Source organism: Homo sapiens, chromosome 4 (assembly GCF_000001405.40).
Source record: "Homo sapiens chromosome 4, GRCh38.p14 Primary Assembly".
Classification (NCBI taxonomy): domain Eukaryota; kingdom Metazoa; phylum Chordata; class Mammalia; order Primates; family Hominidae; genus Homo; species Homo sapiens.
In genome coordinates, this window is record NC_000004.12 from 46,810,687 (window position 1) to 46,825,558 (window position 14,872).

Below are 14,872 nucleotides of genomic sequence, written 5' to 3' on the forward strand. Positions count from 1 at the left end.
TAAAGTATTGGAACACTCAGGATTTGACTATGTATTTGCCTCTAGCAGTGAGTTTTATATTTTCATATGTATTAATGATAGTAATGATCATCCTTTGGTTTCTACTTGAAGAACTTCCTTAAGCATTTCTAGTAAGGCAGCTCCAGTTGTAATAAATTCTCTTGGCTTATGCTTGTCTGTCAAAGAAGTATTTCTCCTTTATTTCTGAAAGACAGCTTTGCTAGGTATACTACTCTTGGCTGATAGATTTATTTTTTTCCTTTCAGCACTTTGACAATATAATTCCATTCTCTCCTAAACTGCAAGATTTGTCCTTAGAAATCTGCTGATAGTCTAATAGAGATTCTCCTATATGTGGCTTGATGGTTTTTCTCTTACTGCTTTTAAAATTCTCTCTTTATCTTTGACTTTCAACAGTTTGGTTTTAATGTGCCTCAGAAGGAATCTCTTTGGGTTGAATATATTTGGAAATCTCTGAGCTTCATGGATCTGGATGTCCATATCTCTTCCCAGACCTGGAATATTTTCAGCAATTATTTCATTAAATAGACTTTCTGTTCCTTTGTCTTTCTCTTATGTTTTTGGGGACTCCAATAATCAAATATTTATTCACTTAATGGTGTGCCATCAGGCCTATAGGCTTTTTTTTTTTAACTATTTTAATTTTCCTTTGAGTCATGTCAAAAGACCTATACTGCAGTTCAAAAATTCTTTCTTTTTGATCTTGTCTGCTGTTAAACCTCAACCATATATATTTTTTTTATTTCATTGATTGAATTATTTAGCTCCAAGAATTCTGTCTGGTTCTTTAATACAGCTCCTATTTGAATTTCTCATTTGGATCATTGTTTTCCTAATTACACTGAATCATTTATTTCTATTATCTTGTATCTCACTAAATTTCCTTAAGATCATTATTTTGATTTCCTTTTTAGGCAATTTGTAAATTGTTGTTTCTGTGGGGTCAGTTACTGGAGAATTATTGTGTTCCTTTGGTGGAGTCATATTTCCTTGCCTTTTCATGTTTCTTGTGTCTCTGAATTGATGTCTGTGCATCAGACAGTGCAGTCACTTCTTCTAAACTTTACAGAGCAGCTTTCATAGGGGGAGACTTTCACATACAGGTTGAACACGGTGCAAGCAACTCTCCATGTGGACCCAGAGGTGTAATCTACATTCAGCTTCTTCCACTGTGATCAATGTTAGTGATGACTGGAGGTGCTTACATGGCCTAGACTGTAGGAATTTGTTTCAGTAATGGTGGCTGCATAGGTTATTAGGGCAAAGGCTTTAGGGATCCTCTTATTCTTGTTTTTCTCACAGTGGGGAGTCTTAGCTGGGGATTTTTCTTGAAATTGGGTCTGATATGGCTTTCAAGCAGCACTGAAATATAGTGCAGCACTATAATATAATACAGTATATAATACAGTAGCACTGGAATATAGGACACATATGCTTGGAACAGCTGTGGAACTGGGTTCCTGGGCTAAGGGTTTTGTCAAAATACCGTAGTTCCCAGAACTTGAGGCCATAGGCTCACTCTCCAAAGCACAAGAGAATGCAATTCTCCCACTAAGCTGAGGCCTATCTCTCTGAGGCACATCCCAGTAGCTTTGTCCCAGGAGCTTGGATGTAGCTATGGTTCTGACCCTGGGAGGCACCAGCATGGATCTGAATAAAAATTAAAAAAAAAAAAGAAGTCCTACAGAGGCTCAGGCCCCAGAAACTTGGGCACAGCTGCAATTCAGGACCCAGAACAAACAGGGCACACTGGCAGGTGGGCTCCAGGGAATAAGGTACCATGAGGTGGTGACTCTGGAACTGGAAATGATAGGACATAGGAGTATCCCAGACTTTATAAGGCCAGGTATAGCAGCAAGGATGTAAGTTCCTGATATGATTTAGGCCCCAGGGGACAGGGAGCAGTACAGTGATGCTTTCACTTCCAGAAGAGGGGGGATGTCTTGGCAGCTCAGACTGTAGGAGTCTAGTCCAGTTCCAGGTAGGGAGGACACTGTGGGCTTTTCGACCTGAAGGTGCATAACCACAGCTCAGCCAATGCTCTGATTCCCTGGGACTAAAGGCACTGTGTCTGTTTAGCCCCAGAAAGTGCAGCTACATGGGTCAGCAGAGCCTCTGGATCACTGGGTTCAGGGTGTGGCATCAACTATGATGCTTAGAGGTACAGCTGCTTCATTGGGCCAGGGGCTCATATTTCCAGGGTGCAGGCTGCTGCCTCACCTATTGCACAGGGCAGGGGGTTACTGCTCCAGTATGCCAGTGGCTTGAGGTCCCTGGGAAATGGGTTGATGCCTCAGCTGTGGCACCAGATCATGACTGTCCCCACAGTTAAAAGGCTCCAGGTCCCTCAGGGCAGGGCACCACTTCAGCTTGACCCTGAGGGAAGAATGCACCACCAACTGGGATGGGGATAAAAGAATAGCTTTGTGGTAGCTTGACTCTAGGGAGTAGGCCATAAGACAAGATTTCATTCCTTTATATGATTAAATAATATTCAATTGTGTATGTACATCTATTTACCAAATTTTCTTTATCCATTCATCTGTTCATGGGCATTCAGAAGATTCCATATCTTGGCTATTGTAAATACTGCTGCAGTAAACATGGGAGTGCAAATTATCTCTTCAATATATGAATTTCTTTTCCTTGAAACACTTCAGGACATTGGACTGGACAAAGATGTTATATGGAACACTTCAAAAGCACAGATAATGAAAGCAAACATAGATCACTCAGATTATATCAAATGAAAAAGTTTCTGCACAGCAAAAGAAACTCGTAAGTGGGAGCTGAACGATGAAAACACATGGACACAGGGAGGGGAACATCGCACACTGGGGCCTGTCGTGGGGTGGAGGGCAAGGAAAGGGAGAGTATTAGGACAAATACCTAATTCATGCTGGGCTTAAAACCTAGATAACGGGTTGATAGGTGCAGCAAACCACCATGGCACATGTATACCTATGTAACAAATCTGCACATTCTGCATGTGTATCCCAGAACTTAAAATAAAAATAAAAAAGAAACAATCAACAGAGTAAAGAGACAACTTGTAAGGCTGAAGAAAAGACATGAAAACTATTCATCTGACCAGCAGTTAATACCCAGAATATAAAAGAAACACAAACAACTTAACAGAAAAAAAACTAATAATCTGATTTTAAAATTCTGAATAGACATTTCTCAAAAGGAGACATACAAGTGGCCAAGAAATATATGAAAAAAAGTTCAATATCGCTAATCCTCAGAGAAATGAAAATCAAAACTGTAATGAGATATTATCTCATCCCCATTAAAAAGGCAATTATCAAAAAGACAAAAGTAGCAAATGCTGGTGGGGATGTGGAGAAAAGGGAACTCTTATACACTGTTGGTAACCATTATGGAAAATAGCATGGAGGTTCTTCAAAACCTAAAAATAGAAAACCAGGTGATTCAGCAATCATATTACTGGGTATTTATCCAAAGGAAAGGAAATCGGTATATTAAAGGGACGGTTTTTAAAGACTTATTTGCCTAATCTTGGTTTGTCATTGAACACCAAACTTGCAGCAGTTTCAGATTTCAGAAATAGACTTCCATTTTGTTTCCTTATTCACTGGAGAAGTGCTTTCTGCAAGGTGATACAAAATTCGGCTTTCCAGTGTGAATCTTTAATCCCCAGTCCTGTGCAAACCAGGAAAAAGTGATCCATAATGTGTCTCTTTAAGTGGATCCTTTTTAGATGTGTTCATTTTCCCACAAAAATTACTAACTGTATAGTCAACCTGAGTGCAAACTATACAACATTTATAGCCAAAAGAAAAGTTTACTTAGTTATTTAGGATATAAACTAAGTCTATAGTTACTTTTTAATAAAGCCAGCTTAGAAAAGTTTCCTTTAAAAACATATATGTAAAGTAAGAGTTATATACCTCATACTAATGAACGACAGTAAGTGATGATAAGCTCCTTGGCAATGAATGATTTTAATTAATTATACTGCAGGATTGATCACTTTTTACGTCAATGTATCACTGATGAGTTGACTGCTCCTGTTGAAGATATTTCAGCATTATTTATGATCATTTACAGTAGTCATTTTTAATATAGGGAATTGTATCTGTTGATTAAAAAATTATAACAATTCTATCATTCTTCTATATCCTTAGTATATTCCAATAAATTAGATGTGGTTTAAGAAAATGTCACTTGAGGGCCAGGCACGTTGGCTCATGCCTGTAATCCCAGCACTTTGGGTGGCCGAAGTGGGCGAATCACTTCAGGCCAGGAGTTTGAGACCGGCCAGGCCAACACGGCGAAACCCCGTCTCTACTGAAGATACAAAAATTAGCCAGGCGTGGTGGTGCATGCCTGTAGTCCCAGCTACTCAGGAAGCTGAGACAGGAGAATTGCTTGAGCCCGGGAGGTGGAGGTTGCAGTGAGCCGAGATTGCACCAGCCTAGGCGACAGATCGAGACTCTGTCTCAAAAAAAAAAAAAAAGAAAAAGAAAATGTCACTTGAGAAGCATGAAAGTACTCAGACAGCAAGTAATAATCATCTCCAACTGGGGTTTAAAGTTAGACTCTTCTCTTACATTTTGTGGTATCTATTAATTTTGTGAAATAAGTATGAACAAAACTATAGGTTCAATAAATTGACACAGAGTTGATTCTACTCAGAACTCATGACAGTCACATTTATTATTATGGCCTGCAGTGTAATAATTATCTATCCTACTTGTTAATTCTAATAAAACCTTTTTCTTTTTATATTGTATGTTTTGTGCATCTTGAATCTTCCTTGCCTCTCCTCAGTACTAATCAACAAAATTCCAGACTTTAACCTTGGAAATTACAGGTTAACTGTAAATAAAAGAAGTTTCAACAAATTAAAAATAATCTGTATTCTCCTACAGCTGCAGAAATGCAGATTCAATTTTGCACAAATGGTGAATTAAGAACTTAAAAAAAAAAGAGTATCACTCTTATTTCTCGTCCAAGATGAGGGGAATATGTAATCCTTTTATTTTCTATTATTAAAACTGTCCCTGGAAGTGTTATTTGAACAAAGGATTCTTATGATATCAGGGCTTCAGAGAAATGTTGCAGTGTTCTGTGAAAATAAGCTTTAACCTCTAAAATGTCTCTAATACAGATTAATTGTCTTAGCAGATAACACTTTGTTTCCCTGGTAATAATATTTATATTTACCTTTCTGTTTTGAAAAAATACCAATGCTTATAAGATTTATCAAACCACAAGAGGACCACAAACACTCCTCTTCTCTCTCACTCTCAGGCAGGAAACGAGACCCGTGACTATTATGGATATGTAGGCCCTCCTTATATCCTCACCAATGGTGGCCACTCTCGGTCAGTCCTCTGGGTGATAAAGTATACATATAAATATATACTGAGTACAAGACTGACATTATACCCTACAACTATTACAGCCTGTAAAATTATTGTGTTTCTGAATATTTGTGAATGAAACAAATTGTTGTTTGGTATTCAATGACCTTGATATGGTCAAATCTTAACTCATATTCTTCCTTTAAACCTCATGAATACTGAATTTCTTTGCCATCGTTAACATATGCTTTGTCCTTTCTGGCCTCTAGTTATGTTATTGGGCTGTTCTCTCGGCCTTGAATGACCCCTCTTAATTCTTTCTCTATCTTCTATCTCTAATGGCCACTAAAATGCGACCACATTTGAAATTCCAACCATCCTTAAACCTGAACTGAAGTTCTTCTTTAAATTCTCATGGTACTTTACTCATAACTCTTTAAAAAGGTCTATTCTGTATTATAGTTATTTATAGTTATTATATCTATTATGATGTAATCATCATAAAATTATAATTTGTCTGAAACTTGTTATCCCCTGCAGTTATGAGCAAAGCATCTTGTACATCATAGGACCTCAAATGAATGCTGAAAATATTATTTAATGTCATTTTTTTTGCATTAGGATGCTTTTCCACAGGCAGAAAAACAATCTGCTGCAAATAATAAAGGAATTATAGTCTATGAGGGATTCACTTGAAGCAGAATATAACTTCTCATTGATAGGTTTTCACTATAGCTGAGGTTGTATGTAGACTAGAAATAAATCTGTGTTACAGACATTCATGTAATAAGTAATTGCTGAGGTATCACCGCTTACTGATTGAGTCCTACTTTGAAGTCCTTGTAGCTTGTTTGTGAGGGTAAGCCTCAGAGAATTTTTTTAAGTGGGAAGTTAGATTCAGTATTTTGCTTCACTTTGTCTTTTAGATTTAGTGTATGAAGAGAAAGAGTGATTCTATCTTAGCTCAGTGCTTTCAGCAGCTGCTCATGCTACAGAGTGGGAAATATTTTTTAAAAAGACATACAAGAAAAAAGAGGATAGAGTCATAACTGAGGGGAAGCAAGTTAATTTTAAGCCTCTGTTATTCAAGCTAAATGGTTAACTGACAACCAGTTACTGTTCTTTGCTAGAGTTTATCTTGGTTGAACTGTGTATGCATGGACAATAGGAAGAATTAGAAGGAAAGTAAAAGTTATTTAATGTTTGCCAAGAGTCAGGCCCTCTGCTAAGTTATTTGCATAAATTATTTTTTCCATTATAATAACAATTTGGGATATAGGTAGATTCAATATCCCCTTTCTATTGATGAAGACATTGAGGTTTTCAGGATATAAATGTAGCTACAAGGTCAATAGAAAAGCCGGGGTACACATTTCAGTCTCTCAGTCCCCCAGGTCTATAGGCTCTCCATTATAACATGCTGAATAAACTCAAATATAAGCTGAATATTCACATTTTTACTGTACTCTTTTCTCTAACTTTTCTGACACCCTTTAATTGGGCAACTTTAATTTGTTATCTAACTTTAGGCTCTAAACATTCTGAATAATTACATAATCAAGTCATAATCCTAGGTCACAAAGTAAATCAAACTTTCTCAAATACTCTTCCCTCTTAAGGAAACATGATAAAGTGAATATAGCCTGAAGAGGCTAATAGTCTAGTTGCAGAGTCAGACTCAATGAAATTTAAAGAAAGCCAGGAGGTGAGGATAAAACCGGGACAGCTGAAAGAAGGGCAGGTTCCCTAAGCATCTCAGTAGATTACAGTTTTGTTACTGAGAAGAGCTGGAGGGTCACCCTACTGAGACCCCCTTCAAGCATGTTTTTCCCTCAGCTTCAGAACTTACTTTGTATATGAGATGTTTGAATAAATCTTTGAACCTACGCATTTCTCAGCAGAACACAGAAAAGGAACTGATTAGAAATTTAAATTTCAGAAACATCAAAATTGCAAAATAGAGATTTCTTCCCAAAATACTATGCAGAGGCTTCCAGTGAGTCTTATTATGCTCATTACAAAAGGTAAGTACACTGGCATCCACACTTGGATGGACTATTTGAAAACACACAGGATGGTTGGAAAAATTAGAATAGGTAAAGGAAAAGATAATATGTCAATTCTCAATTAATCAATGCCCCTCTATGCAGTCAGTGACCTTTATTGAATCTCCTGTCTTACTAATCTTTTGCACATCCAGCAGAAGGTGGGAAGGGTCAGTTTGTCAGTGTCTTTTACTGAAGGTCCATTGTTCAGAGAATTGCAGTGAACTTGATAAAGAATACATGAACATAGAAAACAGACTACTGGAAGCCGGGCGCCGTGGCTCACGCCTGTAAACCCAGCACTTTGGGAGGCCGAGGCGGGTGGATCATGAGGTCAGGAGATCGCGACCATCCTGGCTAACACAGTGAAACCCCGTCTCTACTAAAAAAAATACAAAAAAATTAGCTGGGTGTGGTGGCGAGCGCCTGTAGTCCCAGCTACTCAGTAGGCTGAGGCAGGAGAATGGCGTGAACCCAGGAGGCGGAGTTTGCAGTGAGTGAAGATCAAGCCACTGCACTCCAGCCTGGGCGACTGAGCGAGACTCTGTCTCAAAAAAAAAAAAAAGAAAGAAAGAAAACAGACTACTAGATCTCAAGCATCTTTCATTGTAATGGAAAAACAAGTAAGTACACAAAAATTTTGTCATTATTATGGTCAGTGCCCTTTGGCATGGCACACACATGAGTAATCAATCATCTCTATAAAATGAACCACAGATGGCATATTAGTCTTAACTGTTCCACAAACACAGGGCCTCTGTTCTGTGCTAACGACTTTAGATATGCCAGTGTTGCATGAATTACTTATTTGGCTGTTTTCCCCCCAACACTGTAAGTTTTAAGCATAAAAAATTCTTTCTACTTATTACAGTGTATCAGGTGCTTTATACAGTAGGGTGCTCGATAACTATTTTTAAATGCATGATTGAATAAATGAATAAAATGTTTTCAGTTTCACTTTGGTATGTTCACAATCACCTCGAATTTTGCCGTTTTTAAAACAAAGCCTTTTTAAAAAACCATGTAGCCTTCTCTTGGCTGATAGGTGATAGATTTTCTTGCATAATAGAGATTATTAAATGACCACTTCTCATGCAAAAAAATCTATAAAATGAGGGTAAATTTGATCTGGAGGACTTCCCAACCCACTCTCATTTATCAAAAACCCTTTAGCGGAACCACCTCAAGGTCACACCTCATTCATTCCCTCTACAGAGGTATATCGACTCCTCATGCTAAGGGCTGGAGGCAGAGCGGCAAACTAACATGCCACTCTTAGGAAGCTTTCAGTTCAGAGGTAGGAAAGTCACTAAAAGAGACAACAATTACAAACCATGGTTAAAAGTTAAATCAGGGGTGTCCAATCTTTTGGCTTCTCCAGGCCACACTGCAAGAAGAAGAATTGTCTTGGGCCACACATAAAATACACTAAAACTAACGATAGCTGATGAGCTAAAAAAAAAAAAAAAAAAAAATTCAGACAAATAACTCTCATTATGTTTTAAGAAAGTTTATGAATTTGTGGTGGGCCACATTCAAAGCTGTCTTGGGCCACATGTGGCCTACAGGCCAAGGGTTAGACAAGCTTGTGTTAAAGCAGTATATTATTTGTGTTAAAGTAAAACAGTATATAATTCTACTTATTACAATGTATCAGCTGTTTTATATATTAGGGTGCTCAACAATTATTTTTGAATGTGTGACTGAATAAATAAATAAAATTTTTTCAGTGTCATTGTGGCATGGTCACAATTACCTTGATCATCCTAATCCTTACTTGGGACTAGACAGGGAATCCTGATCTACTTAGATATGGATTAGGATAAGCAAGGCAATATGCCAGATATTTCAATCAGATGTCTTCATTCCACCAAGCATTGCATCTCTTCTTCAAAGCTGACATATGACCCCCAACATTTTTGGTACCAGGAACCGGTTTCGTGGAAAACAATTTTTTCACAGACCAGTCGGGATGGTTTCAGGATGATTCAAGCACGTTACATTTATTGTGCACTTTCTTTCTATTATTATTACACTGTAATATATAATGAAATAATTATACAACTTACCATAATATGGAATCAGTGGAAGCCCTGAGCTTCTTTCCCTCAACTAGATGGTCCCATCTGGGGGAGATCGGAAACAGTGACCTATTATCAGGCATTAGATTCTCCTAAGGAGCACACAATTCAGCATGCACAGCTCACAACAGGGTTTCCGGTCCCATGAGAATCTAATGCCTCTGCTGATCTGACGGGAGGTGGAACTCAGGCAATGACGTGAGCAATGGAAAGCAGCTGTAAATATAGATGAAGCCTCACTCACTTGCCTGCCTCTCACCTCCTGCAGTGCAGCCTAGTTCCTAACAGGCCATGGGCTGGTACCGGTCCATGGCCTGCGGGTTGGGGATCCCAGCTCTATCTAATCTGATATCTTGCTTTTGGTTAAGATATTACAGGAGGCTGGGCACAGTGGCTAACGCCTGTAATCCCAGCGCTTTGGGAGGCCAAGGTGGGCAGATCACCTGAGGTCAGGAGTTCGAGACCAGCCTGACCAACAAACCCCGTCTCTACTAAAAATACAAAATTAGCTGGGCATGGTAGCACATGCCTGTAACCTCAGCTACTCAGGAAGCTGAGGCAGAAGAATCACTGGAACCTGGGAGGCAGAGGTTGCAGTGAGCTGAGATCATGCCATTGCACTCGAGCCTGGACAAAAAAAGCAAAACTCCATCTCAAAAAAAAAAAAAATATATATATATATATATAGATAGATAGATATTACAGCAGTAGGCAGGCAGTATACCTCAAAAAGTAATCCAATCTCACGTAAGAGTTGAAAATTTAGATTTAATAGCCCATGACAGAAAGTCAGTCAGAATTACTACAGTCGAAACCTGAGAATCTGAATTTTAACAATTTTTTTAAATGAGTTGTATGCATGCTAAAGTAAGATCCACTGCCTTATGCTGCCCTTGCTTCTTTAAAAACCACTTCTGCGTTTCGTATCTGGTTGTTTTAGTTAAAGCTCTTCTGCTCCGAATTCAGTCTCAAATATGCATTTTCAATTAATTATTTTTAACAAGGTGTCAAATAAATTCAATAAGGAATCATGAGGTAAAAGCCATGAGAGACACTTGAAAGACGCACCAGAGAGAATTCAGTCACTCTCATCAAAGAAAATATTGTTAGATAGCATAGATAATTTCTTCTGAGAGAAATTACTTTTCCAGAAGAAAATATGGACTCTATTTGGCAGCAACCTTCTTTGAAGTTTGCGGCAAATCCCAAATAAACCTTAAATATATTTGACTCTATGTGTTAACAATCTATGCTTGAACTGACATAAATTAGTACACAACACAATAAGCAAAGAATGTTTAATCCTATGCAGCAGTGTGTTCAGTGATATAAGAACTAGATACAGAATGTGACAGAACTCTACCATTTACTTTTTTATATTAAGCTGATCATTTAATTCTTCTGTGCAACAAGTTCCCTAATCTTCAGTAATGTGGCTATTAATACCTATACTACACATGTAGGAAGGAGAATAAAATAGAATAAAGAGTGTAAACAGTATAAAATCTGAAGTGTTATTCAAATGTATAAGTTAAATAATCATCATTGTCACACATATTTATTATCAATATAGAACACTGAAGATTATAATGAAATGTTATGGAGTCTCTGCTGATTACCTATATTATAAACTAAGCCTAGGAAACTAAAATCATGGCATATGTCTCTCACATTGCCAAAATTGTTGCCAGGTGTTTAATACAGTAGAGGTACAGAGGTTATTCATTTTTTTTTGTTTGTTTTGTTTGTTTGTTTGTTTGTTTTGAGACGGAGTCTCACTCTGTCGCCAGGCTAGAGTGCAGTGGCGCAATCTCAGCTCACTGCAAGCTCTACTTCCTGGGTTCAAGCGATTCTCCTGCCTCAGCCTCCTGAGTAGCTGGGACTATAGGCGCATGCCACCACACTGGGCTAATTTTTGTATTTTTTAGTAGACACGAGGTTTCACCATGTTGGCCAGGATAGTCTCCATCTCCTGACCTCGTGATCCGTCTGCCCCACCCTCCTGAAGTGTTGGGATTACAGACGTGAGCTACCAAGCCCAGCCTCAATTGTTTCCAATAGAAAATATGGGAGTTTTTGTTTCTTGAGGAGAGGACCACAAACATGAACTAAATCACTTCCACAAAACTAACATGGCGTAAGCCTCAAAAGTGAGAGATTATAGCCGTAAGACTCCAGAATACAAAATAAACTAGGAGAAAAACTTGAGGAGATAAAAAAAAAAATAATATAGAGAGGATCCAGGTGAGGAGAGGGCTCTGGGGCACAGAGGAAGAGAGAAGTATCTATTTGTTGATTTTTTTCTTCCTCACATGACCTGGATGAATGTTTGCCCACCCTTTGTCACAGGAAGGAATACAACACCATGCCAACTTGACACAGAAACAGAAAAACTGGCAAAGAAACAGAAAAAATAACTACATTAAAAAACCATTAAATAAACTTAAATTCTATTTTAAAATGGCCTTTATGGCCTAGATGTTTTCACAATTCTATCAAGATTTCAAAGAACAGATACCCATCTCACATAAACTTTTTAAATGATTACCCAATGTATTTCATGGGCCTATTAAATCCCAGATTCTAAAACTAGATAAGAAAAGGGTTCATGAATGTAGACATAAATTATTAGATAATTGAATATTCCAATACATAAAAAATAATAGGTCAGAAATAAAAATAGCTAGAAAGAACTTCAGTTTTATCTTTAGATAACAAAAAACAAAAACAAAACTATACAAATAGCAAATTAACAATTTTCTTAAGCCCATTGGAGAACTGAGGTCTCAATATAAACAATTACTCTAAATCCAGAGAGAAAGAGATGCCTGCATGGAGAAGCAGGACCAGCATTTCCTTAACATGGAAATGTGCCAGTGTTACAGTGTGAATCCCCCAAGGGCCTACAGATATAGGTGTGTTCTGTTTTATAGCCTTTTGTTCCAGGAAACCCACCACAAGATAACTAGGAAAATCAGTGAAAATCCTGAAACAGTGGCCTCCAAGGTTCTGCTGGGTGGGAAATAGCCACTATTTCCAAAATTCCATCCGGATACATCACCACTATTTATCTTATACAATAAAAGCCTTGATCTGTAGGTAGAATTTTATATATTATATATTATATTAGTATATGTATTTCTATGTATGTGCACACATACACATATCATATATAATGTGTGTATGTATATCTCCTTGACCATATACTAAACTTTAAGAAATTTAAAATGATAGAAATGAACAAAGTACATTTCTAGCCCATAAGGGAATTAAACTATGAATCAATAACAGAAAGACATCTGAAAAAGCTCCAAATATTTGGAAATTAAACAACACACTTCTAAATAACTTATCAATTGAAAAGGAACTCTCAAGGATCAATTATAAAATGAAAAATTTTAATATAAAATACAATATATAAAAATTGTGGAATTCAGCTAAGGTGGTATTAGAAAGAAATTTATATCATTAATTGCTTACATTAAAAATAAAGTTGTAAGGTCAGCAACACAAATTACCTTACAAAAATTGAAAAAAATGGTAGCAAACTAAATACAAAGCCAAAATAAGGAAAAAATATGTAAAGATTAGAGTGGAAATCATGAAACTAAAGCAGAAAACAACAGACAAAAATCAAAGAAGCAAACAAAGTTAAATTCAAAATTAATAAAATTGACAAACCTATAGCAAGACTGATCAAAAAGAGAGAGAAAGCACAAATTATTAATATCAGGAATGAAAAAAAAAAGAAGACATCATTCTGGATACCACAAATACCCAAAAGACAATTTTAAAATACTATAAAACTCTATTCCCCCAAATTTAATAGCTTCAGTGAAATTTACCACATCCTTAAAAATACACAAACTAGCAAAATTCACTGAAGGAAAAATAAATACCTGAATAACCTTATATCTATTAATGAAATTAACCTCCCAAGACGGAGCTAGTAAGAAACTGAATCCCTGAACAGACCAATAATGAGCTCCAAAATGGAATTAGTAATAAATAGCCTACCATTACCAAAAAAAGCCCAGGACCTGATGGATTCACGGTCAAATTCTACAGCTGTACAAAGAAAAGTTGATACCATTCCTACAGAAATATTCCAAAAAACTGAGGAGGAGGGACTCTTGCTCAACTCATACTATGAGGCAAGCATCATCTTCATACCAAAATCTGGCAACATACACATCTTTTGGAAGAAATCCTTGCAAGATAGTGAGGTATACATCGCTGGCCCTCATGAGAGAATGAAATTGAGCCCGTTGAATCAGCCTCACTTGTACCAAAGTCAATCAGCTTTTTCGTTATTCACTAACCTGTCATGCTGCCGTATGTGATTACAGTTAAGAGATAGAAAAACAGACAAACAAACAAACAAAAAAACACTTAATCATTTACTGTTGGTTAGCCTACTCAAAAATGAAGTTCAACTTTCTGATGTATTTCTGAGCCTGCTTATTATGTGAGTATTACTGTTTGTGTAAAAAAAAAAAAAAAAAGCAAATTCACCATTATCAAGTAGGCTTCATCACCAAATGCAAGGTTGGCTTAACATATGCAAATCAATAAATGTAATTCATTGCATAAAAAGAACTAAAGACAAAAAACACATGATTATCTCAATAGATACAGAAAAGGCTTTTGATAAAATTGAACAAAACTTCATGTTAAAAAACTCTCAATAACCTAGGTATAGAAGGAACATACCTAAAAATAATAGAAGCCGTCTATGACAAACCCACAACCAACGTTATATTGAATAGGCAAACGCTGGAAGCATTCCCCTTGAAAACAGGCAAAAGACAAAGATGTGATGCCCTCTCATCACTCATCTTCAACACAATATTGGAAGTCCTAACAAGAGTAATCAGGCAAGAGAAAAAAAATAAAACGAATCCAAATATGAAGAAAGGAAGTCAAACTATCTCTGCAGATGACATGATTCTAGATCTAAAAACCCCCCAGTCTTGGCCCAAAAGCTCCTCCAGCTGATAACCAACTTCAGCAAAGTTGCAGAATACAAAATCAATGTTCAAAAATCATTAGCATTCCTATACACCAATGACAGCCAAACCGAGAGCCACATCAGAAAGGCAATCCCATTCACAATTGCCATAAAAAAGCATAAAATACCTAGGAATACAGCTAACTAGGTAGGTGAAAGACCTCTACAATGAAATTTACAAAACACTGCTCAACTAAATCATAAAAGACTCAAACAAATAGAAAAACATCCCATGCTCATAGAAGGAAGAATCCATGTTATTAAAATGGCCATACTGCCCAAAGCAATTTACAGATTTAATGCTATCCTTATCAGGCTACCAAAGACATTCTTCACAGAACTAGAAAAAAACTATATTATAATTCACATGGAACCAAAAAA

At 37.0% G+C, this 14,872-nt stretch overlaps 1 protein-coding gene across 10 annotated transcripts in view; it reads right to left on the minus strand.

Annotated features, from left to right (window-relative positions):
- The window catches only part of COX7B2 (cytochrome c oxidase subunit 7B2), a 174,419-nt gene that overhangs the window by 75,860 nt on the left and 83,687 nt on the right, over positions 1-14,872 (minus strand). The window contains exon 3 of one of the 10 annotated variants that reach the window (XM_047449721.1): positions 3,936-4,055. The exons of the other annotated variants lie outside the window; for them this stretch is intronic. The gene's annotated coding sequence lies outside the window, so the exon portion shown is untranslated. The remainder of the gene's footprint in view (positions 1-3,935; positions 4,056-14,872) is intronic. 10 annotated transcript variants of the gene reach the window in all.